Here is a 19,312-nt window from a genome sequence, read left to right as displayed (position 1 = left end):
CCAAAGTGCTGGGATAACAGGTGTGAGGCACCGTGCCCAGCCAAAAATGACCTGTTAAATAGGTTATCATTCCCATTTTATTGATAGTGAAATGGGGTTTGAGAACATTTTGGCTTGTCTTAGGTCATTCAGCTAGTAAATGAAAGCTGGAACCCTTCAAAGGCATCTTAACTGGTGAAAGTTAACTTTAAATGATTTGAGGCCAGGCGCGGTAGCTGACGCCTGTAATCCCAGCATTTTGGGAGGCCAAGGCAGGCAGATCACGAGGTCAGGAGATCAAGACCATCCTGGCTAACACGGTGAAAACCCGTCTCTACTAAAAATACAAAAAAAAAATTAGCCGGGCGTGGTGGCAGGCGCCTGTAGGCCCAGCTACTTGGGAGGCTGAGGCAGGAGAATGGCATGAACCTGGGAGGCAGAGCTTGCAGTGAGCAGAGATAGTGCCACTGCACTCCAGCCTGGGCGACAGATCAAGACTCTGTCTCAAAAAAAAAAAAAAAAATTGAAAGCAATGGATTGAATATTGAATAAGTTAGATAATTTGGGGATGTTTCTGTTTAAGGGACGTTTCTGAAGAACATAAGAAACTTTCCTTAGAGGAGGAGACCTTGTGGTTAAGAATCCGATCCTTAACATTGAGGCTGATAAGTGGACTTCCAAGTCTCAACCACCCTGTGGAGCCAAAGAACTCGGAGAAGACTGCCGAGAATGGGGTATCCTCCCGGATTGATATTCTTCGTTTGCTCCTTCAACAGCTGGAGGCAACCCTGGAGACAGGAAAGCGATTTATTGAGAAGGATATTCAGGTACCATCAATACATATTTACCATCAAAGTTGCAATAATTATATTTATGACTGTTTTATAAACAGGAGTTTGGGGTGGGTGAGTAGTAAGGAATTGTTTTGTCCCAGTTTATGGCTTCTGCAGGAGAAAGAGGAATATTTTAGACTCAGAGGGAATTGCAGAGGCTTCCTCAATATCCAGACTAGTGAGGGAGAAAGCAAAATAACTTTTTGTGGTGTTAAGTTTTTAATAGCTAGCAACAAATTAATATAAATGTTCTGTTTTTACTGTAATGATTCAGTTATTAGTTTGCTGATTAGTGGCTTTTAGCTGAACCGCTGAGACAGGTTTTTATCTACTAGTTACCTGATTTTCTTATTTTGTATGCATTTAGATGGATTTAAAAGAGCATTATTTTTCTCCCTTTTTTCCAGTATCCTTTCCTTGGTCCTGTACCTACCAGAATGGGTGGATTCTTTAATTCTGGCTGTTCTCAGTGCCAGATAAGCTCTTTTTATCTTGTCAATGATATTTATGAGCTGGATACCAGTGGTTTAGGTAAGTGTACACTGTGTGTTTATAGGGTCTTTGTCATAGAAAATGTAGTACACGTAATAAAATGTCTATAACCTCACATCTGGAAAATTTTAGAGTACATGGAAGCTGGAAGCTGTTCTGCAAATGTGTGGTGTAGTGTATGAGAGGGTACAGTCGTAGGTTACAAAGTAATGTTTTAGAAGCTTAAGTCCATTCCATATTTAAAATCACTTGTTAGGTCCAAAAGTTGAAGAAATTCTTCATTTGTTGAAAGGCTGTTGGATTTTAAAAATGAAGCAGTAGGCTGGGCGCAGTGGCTCACGCCTGTAATCCCAGCACTTTGGGTGGCCAAGGCAGGCGGATCACCTGAGGTCAGGAGTTCGAGACCAGCCTGGCCAACATGGCAAAAGCCCGTGTCTACTAAAAATACAGAAATTAGCGAGGCAAGGTGGCGGGCGCCTGTAGTCTTATCTACTCCAGAGGTTGAGGCAGGAGAATCGCTTGAACCAGGGAAGCAGAGGTTGCAGTGAGCCGAGATGGCACCACTGCACTCCAGCCTGGATGATAGAGCGAGACTTTGTCTCAAAAAAAAAAAAAAATAAAAATAAGAAGCACTAAACTTTGTAGAGAAGAGATTTCTTTTGTAAGCTCCTAGTGAAAATCACAAATACTCCATAGACCTTTTCCTTTTATTTATTTATTTTTTAAATCATAAGGTTAGTAGATCCTACCATTCAGAGTGTTTGAAGCACATAGATTTTAAGCTCTCTTAAGGAATTTTAGGTAGTACCTCTGGCAAAAAGGTAATTAGTGCCTTTCTTTTTATTCTTCCTTTTCCTTTCATTATCATTTTCTTTTTGTCTCAAAATAATGAAAAATGCATAAGGGTCTGTAGAGAGAAGAAAATGTCCTTGCCCATGAACTTCTTGCAGGTATTTATCTTGCTTCTTTATCTTACTAAAAATAGAATTGAAAGTTTTTCATTTTTTGTTTTTCAATTTTAGAGGATACAATGGAGATTCAGGAACGAATAGAAAATAGTTTTAAGTCTTTACTAGACCAGTTAAAAGGTAAGTTTTCCTACTGTAGATTCCTGTATTTGTATCTGGTTGTATGGCAATAGCTTCGAAGTTCTTTCCCCTATTCCCAAGCCCAATCACCCAGAGATAAGTAAGTAGTTTTAACACTTTGGAGTCAATACTCCTAGATGCCACCTAAACACATATGTGTGTGAATGAAAATACAGATAAAAAGTAATCTTTAAACATAGGAAATGGTGTAATCCATGCTTTTTTGACTTTAATTTTTTTGTTATTTTGGATACCTTTCCATGTCAGTTATATATACCCCATTTATTTTCAAGACTGCGTAATATTCTATAGTATTGTATTAACATTTTTTATGTTATCGCAATTGGTGACATATTATGTATATGAGTTATTTCTTCTACTGATGCTGAAATGAATATCTTGGGACAAATTGTTAGGGTATTATTTGAGTCCTTCCTTGGGATTAAATTCCCAAGAATTTAATAGAATTATTAAATTGTTAAATTCCCAATAATTTAATAGAATTGTTAAAGGGCACATATATGCATCTTGTATCTATAAGAGTCTTTCTGGCCGGGCATGGTGACTCACGGCCTGTAATCCCAGCACTTTGGGAGGCTGAGGCAGGCAGATCACGAGGTCAGGAGATTGAGACCATCCTGGCTAACACGGTGAAACCCCGTCTCTACTAAAAATACAAAAAAATTAGCCGGGTGTGGTGGCGGGCTCCTGTAGTCCCAGCTACTCGGGAGGCTGAGGCAGGAGAATGGCATGAACCTGGGAGTTGGAGCTTGCAGTGAGCTGAGATAGCGCCACTACACTTCAGCCTGGGCGACAGAGCGAGACTCCATCTCAAAAAAAAAAAAAAGTGTCTTTTTAGGACCCTAAATGATTTTTTTTTTCCCCCCAAGAAATGAGGTCTTGTTGTGTTGCTCAGGATGGACTCTAACTCCTTGGCTGAAGCAATCCTTCTACCTCAGCCTCCTGAGTAGCTGGGACTACTGGCGTGCACCACCAAGCGTGGCTCGGTCTTATATTTTATTGTCCAGGTGAAGAATGTCTGAAAATGATTAAGATTATGATAATAAAATTTATTATCTGTTATGAAGATGCATTTCTACAATGTACTTTTTTGGTCTTTCAGTCCATAATGGCATAAGTCCTCTGAATCATTCACTTAGAGTCTTAGTCTTATTGTGCTGATGGCCTATCTGAAAAGGCTTCGCTGGTGTTTAGACACTAGAATGTATAATTTTTAAGGCTACCTTTTATATTTTGAAGACTATAGAGCAACAGCATGGCTTTTTAAAGAACTTACAATGGATAGTCTATCCTTTGGAGTTTGGTTCATTATGGAAAATGAAAAACAAATAGCTTTCTAAATTAAATTTTTATTTGCTTATTCTTTATTTGTGTGTTGTGTTCCTTAAAATAGCATTGAAACAAAAGCTGAATAAAACTAAAATGTTTTTTGTTTTCAGATGTCTTCAGTAAATGTAAAGGTGACCTCTTAGAAGTTAAAGATGGTAACTTGAAAACACATCCTACTCTTTTAGAAAATCTAGTTTTCTTTGTTGAGGTAAGTTTTTGTTCTCTTCCTAAAAGACATTGTTGTTCTTAATGGTCTACAGGATTCATTTTTCAACAGTGAACAGGTAATAGGCACCTTATACCTGTAACTTAACCCTCCATCCCTGTTTTTGTTAATTGAAAAGCAATTTAAATCATTTTCTAAACCAATTTCTTCCAAGAATTCTAAGATGATTTCATTCATAATACTTAGGTAAAACTTCTTGAAATTTGCTGTACTCATCTCTAAACTTCCCCAGATTCACCTCAAATCTAGCTGTTTTCATTCTCCTTTCTGACTCACTCTTTATTATGTAGTTTAATTCCTCCAGCTTCTTTTATTTGTTGTCATTTATTAATTGCTAAGATATTATGCATTGTGATAGTGTCCAGCAACTGATACAGCAAAACTCCCTCCTCTTTTTTTGCCAGAGGGAAGAGAAGGAAGATTGCAAACACTCATAATCTATTATCTTTTCTTTTATTTCTGTCACATATTTGTTGACTGTTCTCCCCTTACTACTCTGTGTGGGGAGTGTACACTGTTCTGGTGATTGGCAAACTGTAAGTGCCTAAGAGATTTTTATTAAGTGAATGAGTAATAAGCGGACATATATGTACATGCACACACTGTAGTATAGGAGAAGACATATAAACAGCTAATTTGATACAGTGCAGGATATGTACTGATCAACTGGGTAGATTTTGCCATACATATGTAAGTTAAGATTTGCAGGTAAGGTGGTATCTTACCTGCTTGGAGAGATGTGACGGGAGAGGCATATTGTAAAGAACCTTTGGATTCCATGCCTAGGAATTTGGACTCTTCTCTGAGTGAAAAGGATGTTAAATCAGTCCCCACTTCTTCAGGGAAGTGACAGAAAATTGGAGTGAAGTGGAGGATGGATTTTGAGCTAGGAGAGCCAGAAGAAATGCTGAAGAGTTAGGCCATTGTAGTATTCTGAGCAGGAGATGATGAAGGCCTGGATCAGTAGAGTGATTGCAGAAAGTAGAGTGGAGATTCACATGAGAAATTGAAGGGATTTACATAGAAGAACTGCGTTAGAATTTGTTGAATCCATTGCCTCTAATTTCCTGATAGATATTTTTAGTGTAATCCTTATTGGTGAATTTGCAATTTTTCCTTTCAGACTATTTCTGTTATCCTTTGGGTATCCAGTTACTGTGAGAGTGTCCTACGACCATACAAACTAAATTTACAGAAAAAGAAAAAGAAGAAAAAAGAAACCAGCATCATCATGGTAATAACAGTAACACAAGTGATATACAAGGAACAATCTGACCACATGCTACTTTTTCTTTTCACTGTTTTCCTCCATGTTGAGTCCTTAGGATCCTATATGCCAAGCTTCTCCAACCCATGGCCCACGATGACTTTGAATGCGTCGCAAACCCGTAAACTTTCTTAAAACGTTATGAGATTTTTTGAGTTTTTTTTTAAAGCTCATCAGCTATTGTTAGTGTTTTTTTTGTTTTGTTTTGTTTTTGTTTGAGATGGAATCTCACTCTATAGCCCAGGCTGGAGTTCAGTGGCACTATCTTGGCTCACTGCAACCTCTGCCCCCTGGGTTCGAGTGATTCTCCTGCCTCAGCTTCCCGAGTAGCTGGGATTACAGGCGCCTGCCACCACACCCGGCTAATTTTTGTATTTTAGTACAGACGGGATTTCTCCCTGTTGGCCAGGCTGGTCTCAAACTCCTGACCTTAAGTGATCTGCCCACCTCGGCCTCCCAAAGTGCTGAGATTACAGGCGTGAGCCACTGCACCTGGCCAACATTAGTGTATTTTATGTGTGGCCCAAGACAATTCTTCTTCCAGTGTGGCCCAGGGAAGCCAGAAGATTGGACATCCCTGCATATGCGTTGTTTTTCTCCCCTAACTTAAAAAAAATTAAATTATACACCTACAGAAAAATTGAAAGATTAATATGACACCCATAAAGATCTTTACCTGGATTATCAATTTTTAACCATTTATCTCATTTGTTTTATCTCTCATTTGTTGAACCATGTAAAAGGAAAGTACAGACTTGTGACATGTAACACATCAGGATAGAACAAGGACAGGTCTCTGCAAAACCATAATACTCAAGAAAATTTCAAACTCAAGAAATTTAGCATTGATACAATGATATTATCTAATAAAGTCCATATTCAGGCCGGATGTGGTGGCTCACACCTGTAATCCCAGCACTTTGGGAGGCCGAGACGGGCAGATCACTTGAGGTCAGGAGTTCAAGATCAGCCTGACCAACATGGTGAAACCCCATCTCTACTAAAAATACAAAAATTAGTCGGGCATGGTGGTGAGCATCTGTAATCCCAGCTACCTGGGAGACTGAGGTATGAGAATTGCTTGAACCCGAGAGGCAGAGGTTGCAGTGAGCCAAGATAGCACCACTGCACTCCAGTCTGGATGACAGAGCGAGACTCCGTCTCAGGAAAAAAAAATCAGTATTCAAAGTTTTCCACTTATCTCAATTATGTCTTTTATACCTTTTTCAAAATACTAGAATGCCGTCAGGGATCTGACATGACCTTTAGTTGTCATGTGTGTTTACCCTTCTTTAATCTAGAACGCTTCCTTAACCTTTTACTTTGTTTTTATTGTTGAAGACACTAGCTTGCTTTTTGGTAGAATGTCCCACAATCTGGATTTAGCTGATTGCTAAATGTAAGCTGATTGCTTATATTGAAGTTAAATATAGACATGTTGTCCTTTTTAGTGAGTTAAATCAGGAGTCACTAATGTTGTTGTGTCCCATAATTAAATAATGAAATCTGAAATCACCAATAATGGGACACTAATGTGATTAATGTTGTTGTGTCCCATTATTGGTGATTTCAGATTTCATATATGATTAAGGACATATCTACCAGATTTCTTTATAAAGGTGCCTTTTTCCCTCTGTAATAAGTAAGCTATAGGATAATGCTTGAGTCTATGAATATCCTATTTCCCAATGGCCCTTCACCCACTGGTTTTAGCATTCATTGTTAGTTCAGCGCCTGAATTAGTTATTACATTGACGTGTCCCAAATGATGATTTTTAAAAATTCTGTCTTTTATCATTTATCAGCTGCTATTATTTTGTAAAATAAGAGATGTCCCAACCCATTCATACATATTTGAATATATTCCAATTTGAATATATATATATATATATATATATATATATATATATATATATATATGTATTTTTTAAAATATCGCTATCTGAGTATCACCATGGACTCTTTTTTAAAAAGTTCACTTTATTATAAGCCATTATCATAATTTTCATTTGGATGCTCAAATTATGCCAAATTTGGCTAGCTCCTTTAAGCTGGTTTCTGTCCTTTAACATGTCCTCATCAGTTTTAGGGCGCTTTCTGGAACAGCATAAATGCTCCACATACTTGGTATTTTTTCAGTGAACTGAAATCAGACATTTTTTCAAGAGCACTGGTTCCTTTCTGGGGAATGAATTTCAAAACCAAGATCTAGGTGTTAGTGTGCTCATTGCTATTGGGGTTCACTGCTTCTAGTTTATTTCTATGACGAGAACTAGACAGCGTTTTTATGCACACGCGCGTGCACACACACACACACACGCACACACAGTTTTACGTACTTTTTTTTTTTTTTTTGAGATGGAGTCTTGCTCTGTTGCCCAGGCTGGAGTGCAATGGCGCAATCACTACAACCTCCACTTTCCAGTTTCAAGCGATTCTCCTCCCTCGGCCTCCTGAGTAGGTGGGATTACAGGCAGATGCCGCTCTCCCAGTTAGTTTTTGTATTTTTAGTAGAGATGAGGTTTTGCCATGTTGCCCAGGCTGGTCTCTAACTCCTGACCTCAGGTGATCCACCTGCCTCGGCCTCTCAAAGTGCTGGGATTACAGGCATGAGTCACCATGCCTGGCCTACATAAAGAATTTTTAGTGATACTTTCAAGCCAGCATTTTAGTGATACTCTCAGTTTCAAGAGTTCTTTCCACTCTTTCCCTCATTCCCTTTTTGTAGCTTCCTTTTCTCAGAGTGAGAACCCTGCATCCAAATATCATCAATATATTTATTTGTTGTTTCACAGTAAATACTAAATAGTTTTGGGAATTCATACGTCAGTTCCACTACTAGTTCCAATAACAAACTCATTAAAGTTCAAATGTTTTGCAATTCTTTTTGTCCTTAGAATACGTTCCAGTGAGTATAGACAGTTAAGATACTCTGTAAACTGGAATTAAAAACTGAGATTACTTTTTATTAATATCATATAAAGTTTATTTCCATTTGTATTCAGTTTTAGGGCTCTCCCCATCTTTATTGATTTAATTTTTGAATGTGAAAAACAGTAACATTTTTTTCCATTTCACAGGAAAATAATTTAGTGCTCATTACAGCTCATGATGTGCTGTTTTATTAAGGTTTGAGTTTATGCTGTTACTATCAATGGGGGTCTTTTGTTTGCTATAGCATTATAATAATCATTATCATTTGAAAATGTTGGCTGGGTGCTGCGGTTCACACCTATAATCCCAGCATTTGGGGAGGCCAAGGTGGGGAGATTGCTTGAGCCCGGGAGTTTTGAGACCAGTCTGGGCAGCATAATGAGACCCTGTCTTAACAAAAAAATTTTTAAAAATTAGTTGGGCATGGTGGCACATGCCCGTAGTCAGTCTTAGCTACTCAGGAGGCTGAAGCAGGAGGATCACCAGAGCCTGGGAAATTGAGGCTGCCGTGAGCTGTGATCGCACCACTGTACAAGGCTGGATGACAAAGCAAGACCCTGTCTCAAAAAAAAAAAAAAAAGAAAGTTGATGTTTCAGTTGTAAATTGACTTTCTGAACAATTCAGTTAAATCCAGGAGTTCTTTAGATTGGATGCTCTGCTGAGTGTTACTATTCATTCACAAACAAAGGGTATTTAGATATGAATGAGGGTGCTACTCTCCTTCACTCTATTCAGGAGAATTAAACAAGAACAAGAACAGAGACAAAGATGATTTAACTGATCAAGAGTACAAAGTTCGAGGCTGGGCACTGGTCGTTCATGCTTGTAATCCCAGCACTTAAGGAGGCAGAGGTGAGAGAATAGCTTGAGCCCAGGAGTTCAAGACCAGGCTGGGCAACATAGCAAGACAAAAAGGAAAAAAAAAAGGAGGGCAAAGTTTGAAAGTATAGGTCAGATTGGCTTTGTTGCTCTCCTTCTAATGAAAGCTTTCAGCCCTAGAACATGTCAGATAGCTTTTTGGGAATTGTCTTTTGTAGTGTTTTTTGTTGTCTTTCTGGTTTCTAAAAATGAGAATGGTTTTTCTGATATCAGAGTAACCCATAAAGGTGTGAATAAAGTGAAGATCATTCATATACTTACCAGTCAGTAATAACCACTGGGAAAATTTTCGTGGTAAACAAACCTGCTATCCAGAAGGTTCTGTAACTTGCCTTTTTGTTTTCATATAACAGGGTATCTTGGACATTTTTTCATGTCAGTAAATATAGATATATCTCATTACTTTTAATGGTTATATATTGTACTGTTATATTAATATGCTATAATTATATTGATGAATTGTTGGTTCTAATTTTTGAATATTATAAATATGCTGCTATTGATACAGACAGATTCACAAAGATACATTTATAATATAATTTCTTTTCTTTTCTTTTTTTTTTTTTTTTTGAGACAGAGTCTCACTGTCGCCCAGGCTGGAGTGCAGTGGCGGCGGATCTCAGCTCACTGCAGCCGCCGCCTCCTGAGTTCAAGCGATTCTTCTCCCTCAGGCTTCCGAGTAGCTGGGACTACAGGCGTGTGCCACCACGCCCAGCTAATTTTGTTGTTGTTGTTGTTGTTGTTGTTGTTGTTTTTGAGACGGAGTCTCGCTCTGTTACCCAGGCTGGAGTCCAGTGGCGCGGTCTCGGCTCACTGCAACTTACGCCTCCCAGGTTCAAACAATTCTCCTGCCTCAGCCTCCGGAGTAGCTGGGATTACAGGCGCCTGCCACCATGCACGGCTAATTTTTGTATTTTTAGTAGAGATGGGATTTCACCATGTTGGCCAGGCTGGTCTTGAACTCCTGACCTCAAGTGATCCGCCTGCCTCAGCCTCCCAAAGTGCTGGGATTACAGGCGTGAGCCACTGCGCCTGGCCATATTTTTAGTAGAGATGGGGTTTTACCATGTTGGCCAGTCTGGTCTTGAACTCCTGACCTCAAGTGATCCACCCGCCTCAGCCTCCCAAAGTGCTGGCATTACAGGCATGAGCCACCACACCTGGCCTATAATATAGTTTCTTTAGGATAGCTCTTAGATCTGAAATTAACTGTATATATACATTTATACAGTTAATAAATGTATATGCATATATACATTTGTACTCATCCCCAACAGTGTTGAGTATGTATCTTTAACCATCTGGTAGGTGAATATTGGTATCTCCTTTTTCTAATACTGATTTTTAAAATTTTATTGATATTGAACTGTCCAAGAATACTTCTTGAGTGAAAAGCTAGCTTTATTAATTGATTGGCTAGGTTTTTTAGTTGTATCACATGTTTCTTGGATTTCTTTGATATGTCTTCTATTCTTTGTCCAAGTTTCTTATTGTGGTAGTAATATTTTTCCTATTTATATGTGTTGAGCTACTGGGTTCTTAACATAATAATGTTACTAATCCCCTGTCATAGGTGATGCAGTTTTTTTTTCAGTTTGTTATTTGTCTTTTAACTTGAGTGATTTTTTTTTTGTCAATGTAGTAATATTTTTAAAAACAAGGATAATCTTTTTAATGGTTTTTAGCTTTGTGTGATGTTTAGAAAGGGTTTTTCAGCTGTCAGTGTCATGATTGCAGAAGTTGTTACCTAATTTTCTTCCAGTGCTTTGATGGATTTTTTTTTATTTAAGTATTTAATCTATCGGAAATTTATTTTAATATTACTGTGTTATTTTGTATCTCCAAATGTCTAGCTGGTTATTTTAGTACCATTCATTCACTTGAAACCACTGGTTTGAAATGCCACTATTTAAATTCCCTCACATCTTTCAGTAGCTTTTGTGATGTAGATATGGGTAATATGTTTGATAATGTTTCAACTCTTTTTTAATCTTTTTCCCAGCCACCTGTCTTTACCAGTTTCCAAGACTATGTTACTGGGCTTCAGACTTTAATTTCCAATGTTGTGGATCATATTAAAGGGCTTGAAACACATCTAATTGCACTTAAACTTGAAGAACTTATTTTAGAAGACACTTCTCTCTCACCGGTAAGAGATTGTAGGCAATCGGCAATGTTTTCTACACACACACAAACACTCTGTCTCTCTCTCTCATCTTTATCACAAGGACAAGTTAAAGTTCAATTTATCATTTCCTCTTTATAAGACTTGTGACTAGAAGGTGCTTGGCAGTAGTTTCTTGTTGTGTTGTTGGTGGTAGGTTTTTTCCCCTCTTCATTTCTCCCCATACGTCCTCCTTTCTATGCATTTTTGGGGTTGTTCTTTTACTATGAAAACTAATGCCAGCATTTTGAGCAACATGGAACCAGCCATATTTTGAAATCCAGGGACAATCTTCTTGAATAGAATTTACCTGCTGCTGAGTTAGCTGTCTTCCTTGCCACCCAGTTATCACCTGAGAAAGGAGAAATGCTGGACATGAGAAGTAATTATGTCAGTAATAATTAGGCTAGAGCAAGCCAACCAAAAAGGGAATGAAACCAAGTATGGAATCAAAGGTACCACCATCAAATGTCTTCTGATATTATTTTAGGTCTTTTCAAATTCTATTAGTTAGCAAAATCCTTATAAAGCCTTTGCCCTTAAAATGACGATTCTTTTTTGTAAATGTTAATTCACCGGCCTGGAGTAGGTTTAGGATTTTGGTAGGGGCAAGAAGGACAGTGGTGGAGTCGTCTGTTTCTAGCCTGTTGGTCCAGTGATGAAACTGATCTTAAGAAAATGCTTCCCTCCGGGAGTTTGTCTGAGCTAAACTGCTGAGCTAAACTGCTGATGAGGGAATTTATCCAGTAACCTGAGGGCAGCCATCATCATAGCCCCAGACCTTCATAGGGAAGGGAATGAATAGAATTTTCCTTAGCACACCAGCCTTAAGAGATTGTAAGCCCCTCTTTTGTAAAGCTTAAAAACGTTAGACTTTGAACAGAGTGCTTACTGTGGGAAAGGGCTCAGAGCAGTTCACATTACCAAAGATTGATTAAAAAAAGCAGACATGGGCTGGGCACAGTGGCTCACGCCTGTAATCCCAGCACTTTGGGAGGCGGAGGGAGGCAGATCACGAAGTCAGGAGATGGAGACCATCCTGGCTAACACGGTGAAACGCTGTCTCTACTAAAAAAATACAAAAAAATTAGCCGGGCGTGGTGGTGGGCGCCTCTAGTCCCAGCTACTCGGGAGGCTGAGGCAGGGGAATGTTGTGAACCCCAGAGGCAGAGCTTGCAGTGAGCCGAGATTGCGCCACTGCACTCCAGCCTGGGTGACAGAATGAGACTCCGTCTCAAAAAAAAGAAAAAAAAAAGCAGACATGTTCATATTGAACCTAGTGAGTGAAAAAGTACCTCCTTTCAAAATGAACATGTCTGCTTTCTTTAATGAAGAGTGGGGACATTTGAGGAAGATTAATTGGTTTTCACCAGGTAGAAAGAAATGTAGGAAAAGGATCCCAAGCAGAAGGAGGCACAGATAAAAGCACAGGGGCAGGAAAGTGAATTCTGTGGCGCAGTGTGACACAGTTGGCAGGGCCAGAGCTTATGGTATACGGGAAGTACTGTTAGATATGAAGGTGATAGGCACAATAGCCCTGTTGTGACTATCAAGTGGTTGTTTATGTTAAAAGATCTGTCTGCATCCTGGAATGATGAGCAAGAGTTCTTGTTTTCAGAGTTCTAGAGGTTATCCTTAACTTGGCCATACTCTCTGGATTTTTCAAGCCCTAGCTTCTGTTCTTGTCTTTTGACCTTGGGAAAGTTACCTAACCTCTCTAGGCTTCAATCTCTTTATCTGTAAATGGAAATGATAATAATGCCTACTTCATAGGATTATGGCAAGGATTAAACAAAGCAATAATCGGCCTTATGTTGTTAAAGTCATGTTTCATATAGTTACTGAGCACTACCAAATACCTGATGCATATAGTTTTGGCTAATTGTCTTTTAAAGGTAAAAATCTCTTCAATTCAGTTTCCATTAGGCTCCTCTGCTTTCTTTCCTCCCTTTCTAAATTTGAAACACTGTGAATAAGGCCTCTGGACTGTGACCTCTAGTCCTGATTCCCTTTCTTCCTTCCTATGGGGTATCCCAGTGAAACTGGCTGTGTGTTAGGACCTTTTTGTGTGTATTTATATTCATAGAGAAAATATACAGTATTATTGTATTATTTTGTACTTTAAAAAATGTAAACTCGGCCAGGTGTAGTGGCTCATGGCTGTAATCTCAGCACTTTGGGAGGCCCAAGGCTGGAGGATTATTTGAGCTCAGGAGTTCAAGACCAGCCTGGGTCACTTAGTGAGTCCTGCCTCTTTTAAAAAAAAAAAAAAATTTTAAATTCAGTTTTATATTCAAGAGATCTGTTCAAGCTAATGCCTGTGGATCAATCTTGTTCATTAAACAGCTGCAGAATATAAATGCACCACTGCTGTTGGACATTTTAGGTTGTTTCTTTATATTTGCTTTTACATATGTTACCGAGTGAAATGTATTTGTGCACACCTTTCTATGCACATTTGTATTTCTAAGGAAAATTAGGTCTGAAGTACTAGTATTGTTGGGTCAGAAAGTATGTTCCCGGTTTCTTCTACAGTTCTAGGCTCTGCAGCACTCAACTTCATGTAAACCTAATCAGTCTTCAGCCAACCTCCTTTCTCTGTGAGAACTCACCCCTTCCCTTTTGTTTTTTGTGATCTCTACTACAGCAAACATTTGCCAGCAAATAATAACTCATATTGAAGAATATATAGTTGGTCTCTTGAACTCAGGGGCTTTGTCAATATGGAGGAGACTTGTTAATATTGTAACTGGAAATGATGGAGTTGGTAAAGTTGAGGCCATTATTAAAAGTGGCTATGATGATGTACAAATTAGTAATAAATTTCTACTTTTTTCTGATGAAAACAATCAGAAATCTCAAAATTTCCACTTTGCACAGGTTATAACAAAATAGTAGGGATTTTATGTCCAAACTAGTCATAATTTTCTGTTTTTATTGATTAAAAAGTAGTGATCAGAAATCTCAGTTTTTCTTCTAATTTTTTTTTTTTTTTTTTTTTTTTTTTGAGACAGCTTTACTCTGTCGCCCAGGCTGGTGTGTAGTGGCACGATCTCAGCTCACTACTACCTCTACCTCTAGAGTTCAAGCAATTCTCGTGCCTCAGCTTCCCAAGTAGCTGGGATTACAGGTGTGTGACACCATGCCTGGCTAAGTTTTGTATTTTTAGTAGAGATGGGGTTTCACCATGTTGACCAGGCTGGTTTCAAACTCCTGGGCTCAAGTGATCCACCTGCCTGGGCATCCCAAAGTGTTGGAATTACAGGCGTGAGCCACCGTGCCTGGCCCAGTTTTTCTACCTTATATAACTTACAACAAAGGGTACTTGAAAGAGTAATGATGCTAAAGCAATAGGGTTTCCATGAAGAATCACATCGAAAAATACCCATTCGTGATGACCTTTTGCCTTCTTTGCATTTTATGCAATTGAAAATGACCCACTGTGTTCTGATGGAGCTTGCAATGAGACCAAAGGTAATGGCAGCTTTAACTTTTATCTGAGAACTAGAATCTGGGGGGATGGTTTTTAAACAAGACTAATTATTCTTGTCTCCTCCTTTATAGGAAGAGAGAAAATTTTCAAAGACTGTGCAAGGGAAGGTGCAGAGCAGTTATCTGCACTCACTTCTGGAAATGGGGGAGCTGCTGAAAAAAAGACTTGAGACCACAAAGAAACTAAAAATTTAAGGAAGTATCTATCATGGGCACTGATGACTCTGCAACAGAATATGACACCATCTTCCCAGGCAAAAGCAACATCTGGTTGACCATGATTTTAATCCAGAACTTCCTCATAAAATGCATGAAGGACTTTGATCGTGAATTTTTTTAGGTGTTAAATATATACAACTGATTAAATTATTGTATATAAACCAGAAGCGGGACCCTCATCTGGGTTTGACCACTTTTTATACATGTTCATATGCATATGGCAGCAACAAGAGAACCCTACTTTTCTTCTTCCCATCACCAGAAACATCTTTTCAGGGGAGCGGGGGGTCTATAAAAACAGCAATAGAAATTAAGCATAAAGCATCAACCTCATAGCAACTGAATAGCCCTTCCATTATAAATAACATTGAGAGTTTTTGGTCTGGTCCTTGAGCCACAAGAAGTGGAGGGGAGACCATGCCTGGGAACAGACCCCCTTTTCACAGCAGTAAGTTTGTTTTGAGGCTTTCTCAGCTACTTGGCTCCCACAGAACCCAAGGCAGGTACACAAAGGACCTTAGATGAGATCTGGCATATGCACCCGCAATAGAAGGGCACCACTTGGATGACCACAGGCACTTAGTTTTTGGCTAGTTTTTGTCTGATAGTTAAGACATCCCCATCCTAGCTTCTGTGAGAGTTAAAAATCTCAGGTAAGAAGGCAAGGAAGGCTCTGTTAATTTATAGCTGTTTAGAGGGGAAAGCAGTGCAGACCACTTATTAAGCCCGCTGAGGACTAGCTTTCTGTCTTTCATACATTTGGGAAAGATAGGAATGACTGTTTCAAAGAAGAGAGGTGCACATAATTTATGCAGGCAAGTATGATACTTATTTCATTGGTTTTGTGAGTCATATATATACATATATATATATACACATATATATATGACTTGAAAATTAAGATTTAATACTTTAATGTTTTAAGTGTGGGGGGTTTGGGAAGGAAGGAATGTAATATTATGGATTTAGCCTTAGGCTTTAAGTTTTAGGCTGGCAAAAGAAATGTTATTCAGTGGGTTTGAGGTTTGGACTACTTTCTTCAAACTTAGAGAATTATAACAGGATGGTGTTTACTTTGTTCACCTGGATGTCCCCAAGACTCTAGCTTCTTCTATCAGTGGTTGGTCTGATAGAAGAGGTAAAAATTGCTCTTGAAAATGTCCTACAATTTATGCAGTTTCTTTGATAATATTTTTCTGTTTAAATCCCTGCTTCTGTTTTTGGTCTGTTACCTAAATATAGTTCAAGTTTAATTCTGTAAGAGCAAAGAAATGAATTTGATGAGGAAATTAAGCATCCAATGGAGGATTGGTCTTGAAGACCTTAAAGGTGCTTTCCAACCTGCACTGCTCCAGTGAAATGTGGTACTTTTTTCTTTTAAAAGCAACCAAGAGAGCTGGGAATATCTGTGTACGCAAAGTAATTGCATTTTGTCCCTTCATTTTGACTTTCTTAGATTCATAATTTGATACAGTGCTTAAACTTCCAAGGAAATTTTAAACAATTACTACATTACCTGTTCAAAATAAGGCTTGTTGGAAATCCTAGTCCATCAACTAATTTCAAAAATTTATTTTTGATATGAGTAGCAACAGCTGGTCATATACCCTATCCCAAAAGGAAGAACTGTCTTGAACAAGATGAATGGAAAATTGTGGTTAATTCTGAATTTCATGTAATGACAACATATTCTTTCATAAAACTATGGCCTGTTTAAGATGGAACTTTGTGTGTGTCTGCTGGGGAGGGTGGGGTACATGTGTATGGCGTGTGTTCTTGAAATGATGTCTCTCTGAATATCCAAAAAAGTACTGTACTGTAGAAATGCTCTTTGAAAAAGTCTATCGACTGACCATGATCAATCTAGCATATGTATGTTCAGTGGGCTAGCCTTGGTCCTCAGGGACAGTGTGTGACTCTAGTGGTCTTCCTAACCAGTCTCTTGCCTAAAGATATCTGGGACCTCTACTGGCTTTAATGACAAATAATGTTATGTTGAGGTTATGCTTCCTTTGTTATTTGCTGATTTTCCTACTAAATGTAGCATTTCAATTAGATCCAGCTTTCACATTTTGAGATAATTGTAAAAAGAATGAAATTATGCAGAAATGGCCAATATCTCTTATCAATCTGTTCTTTTGGAAACCCTCATGTACTATAAATTGTGTACAGTTAAAAAAATATATATATATATATATTCTTACATGAGTAAAAAGCACCCTCTCCCAGCAATCGTATGCCATTGGTATTTGAAGAGAATTCCCAAATAACCCATTGCTGCTGCTGCTGTTTTTGATTTGTATGGGTTTTTTTGTTTTGTTTGTTTTTGTGTGGTAAACTGATATTTAAAAAAGGAAAGGAGAAAAATCACGACTACTGTTTACAGACTGAAAAATTATTGCTTTTTATACTACTGAGATCCTAAGTTAAGACTCTCCAAAGCAAACATTTGGTTTAAATCATTTATCTGATGTAGATAAAAGGTAGAGAAACTTGTAGTGTTCTCCACATAATGGAAAATGTACAAATGCCTAGTTGTGTTGCCCATCAATTTTGTATATTTTCATAATTTTAATTGTTGAAAATTGCATTATATTTTGCAATCACTATGTTCAATCTGGATTTGTCTTTCATTTTAACTTTTAATATAAAAAGGGGTTTCAATGTATCTACAGGCTTGTTATTGAAACTTCCTACTTATTTGATGTGATTTATTAATATAGGAAGTATATATTCTTCCTTAAGTAAGTGAAGCATAGCAAATCTACTTTAAACTGGATGGGTTAATTTATATAAACATTTTCATTTTAAGTTGGCATTTCTGCCTGGTTCCTTTTTGTTCAGATTCTTAGAAGCCACAACCTTCTGAATGGTGTAATTCATCTCAGTTGTGAATTTAGGGCTATATCCCAACATATTTTTAATATTTGAGAATTTAGAATTTTTATTTGAAGTCAGCTAGTCCTTTTGACTCAAAAGTTAGTACCTTCTGTACTTGCAGTTATTAATTCAACATATATGTATTGAACACTTAAATTAGCATATAGCAGATTCCACTTTAGGCTCTGGTGAGACCCTGTGTCCTAGTTAGTAAGTGAGTAACATATATCCTAGTTAGTGGCTGTGAGGTGGGGAAGAGGCAATAAAAATATTAGTTTGTAATTACATCCTGCTTAATAATGTAAATCACAGTATGTGAATTGAGTGTGTCTAGAGGGTCACTTCAGAATGGGTCACAGGAGGACCTCCTAAGTGGTGACCTCTGATCTGAATGATGAACTGTCAGGAAAAAAGTAACACACATGCAAATGCCCCAAGGCAGGAAACTGCTGAGCCGGTTCCAGGAAGTGAAAAAATGTTCAAGTGGCTGGGACTTAATGAAAGGGGTAGGATTGAGATAGAAAGTTGAGTAGGGATGAGAGCCATCAGGACTTAGTAGTCCGGGGAAGGAATGAGATTTTATTCTAAATTTAGTGGGAAGTTACCAGAGGATTTCAGGCAGGCTGATGACATGATTTATCCAAGGGTACTCGAACCCACAAGCTGGGATTCGGAACTTATTCAGGTACATTGACAACACAGTGAAAGTAGGAACTTAGCTCTTTTTTACTTTCTGTCCTGTGATATTGTCTTGTATGAGCCCCAAAGAGTCAGTTTTTGCCTGTTTCTTCAGTTATGAATTAACTCCATCCCAAGGTTTTTCTTTTATTTTTTTGAGACGGAGTCTCGCTCTGTCGCCAGGCTGGAGTGCAGTGGCACGATCTTGGTTCACCAGTCTCGGCCTCCTGGGTTCAAGTGATTCTCCTGCCTCAGCCTCCCGAGTAGCTGGGATTACAGGCGTGTGGCACCACACCCAGCTAATTTTTGTATTTTTAGTAGAGACGGGGTTTCACCATGTTGGCCAGGATGGTCTCGAACTCCTGACCTCGTGATCTGCCCACCTCAGCCTCCCAAGGTTTTTCTTTAGCAAAAGATAGGTACTTGGGTATACCTCACTGCCATTCTTAATTTTCTTGAGAGATGGGCTCAGGTTTATGCTTTTTTATGTGCCCTGTTTTTTTAGATGCTGTTCCTGTCTTGGTGCAGACATGTATTTTACAGTATGACTGGAGGGTAAGCTACCATGAACCAAATGCTTATACAAATTATTTGTGGGGTTCCTATGGCAGTTTATGCTTCAGGAGTGCAGAGCTTTTCTGCAACCTCCAGCTTCCATATAGCCCAGTTAATTTAGGCCTCAGATACTATTTTTTTTTTTTTTTTTTTTTTTTTGAGACAGTTTCTCTCTTGTCCCCCAGGCTGGAGTGCAATGGCGCGATCCTGGCTCACTGCAACCTCCGCCTCCCGAGTTCCAGCGATTCTCCTGCCTCAGCCTCCTGAGTAGCTGG

The 19,312-nt window shown here is 38.5% G+C and overlaps 1 protein-coding gene and 1 non-coding gene across 4 annotated transcripts in view, besides 1 other annotated feature; both read left to right on the top strand.

Annotated features, from left to right (window-relative positions):
- NAA25 (N-alpha-acetyltransferase 25, NatB auxiliary subunit) overlaps window positions 1–17,742 on the top strand; it is an 82,095-nt gene extending 64,353 nt beyond the window's left edge. For all 3 annotated transcript variants that reach the window (NM_024953.4, XM_006719606.3, XM_047429557.1), the window contains 7 exons: window positions 563–806; window positions 1,220–1,343; window positions 2,327–2,392; window positions 3,853–3,950; window positions 5,092–5,202; window positions 11,052–11,198; window positions 14,778–17,742. In NM_024953.4, the coding sequence (NP_079229.2) occupies window positions 563–806; window positions 1,220–1,343; window positions 2,327–2,392; window positions 3,853–3,950; window positions 5,092–5,202; window positions 11,052–11,198; window positions 14,778–14,900 (913 nt within the window). In that variant the 3' untranslated portion in view covers window positions 14,901–17,742. The remainder of the gene's footprint in view (window positions 1–562; window positions 807–1,219; window positions 1,344–2,326; window positions 2,393–3,852; window positions 3,951–5,091; window positions 5,203–11,051; window positions 11,199–14,777) is intronic.
- Window positions 6,716–6,832, top strand: MIR3657 (microRNA 3657). Its single transcript, NR_037430.1, has one exon. It is a non-coding gene; the product is annotated as a microRNA 3657 (primary transcript).
- Window positions 10,727–11,228: an enhancer, noted in NCBI's record as "NANOG hESC enhancer chr12:112471007-112471508 (GRCh37/hg19 assembly coordinates)". NCBI's record gives its function as "activates a minimal SCP1, AML or CMV promoter by ChIP-STARR-seq in primed H9 embryonic stem cells {active_cell/tissue: H9 hESC(primed)}" and the evidence as "EXISTENCE:reporter gene assay evidence [ECO:0000049][PMID:30033119]".

This window comes from Homo sapiens, chromosome 12 (assembly GCF_000001405.40).
Source record: "Homo sapiens chromosome 12, GRCh38.p14 Primary Assembly".
NCBI lineage: Eukaryota > Metazoa > Chordata > Mammalia > Primates > Hominidae > Homo > Homo sapiens.
Note: the sequence above shows the minus strand (reverse complement) of the source record. Positions and strands in the feature narration are given on the sequence as shown.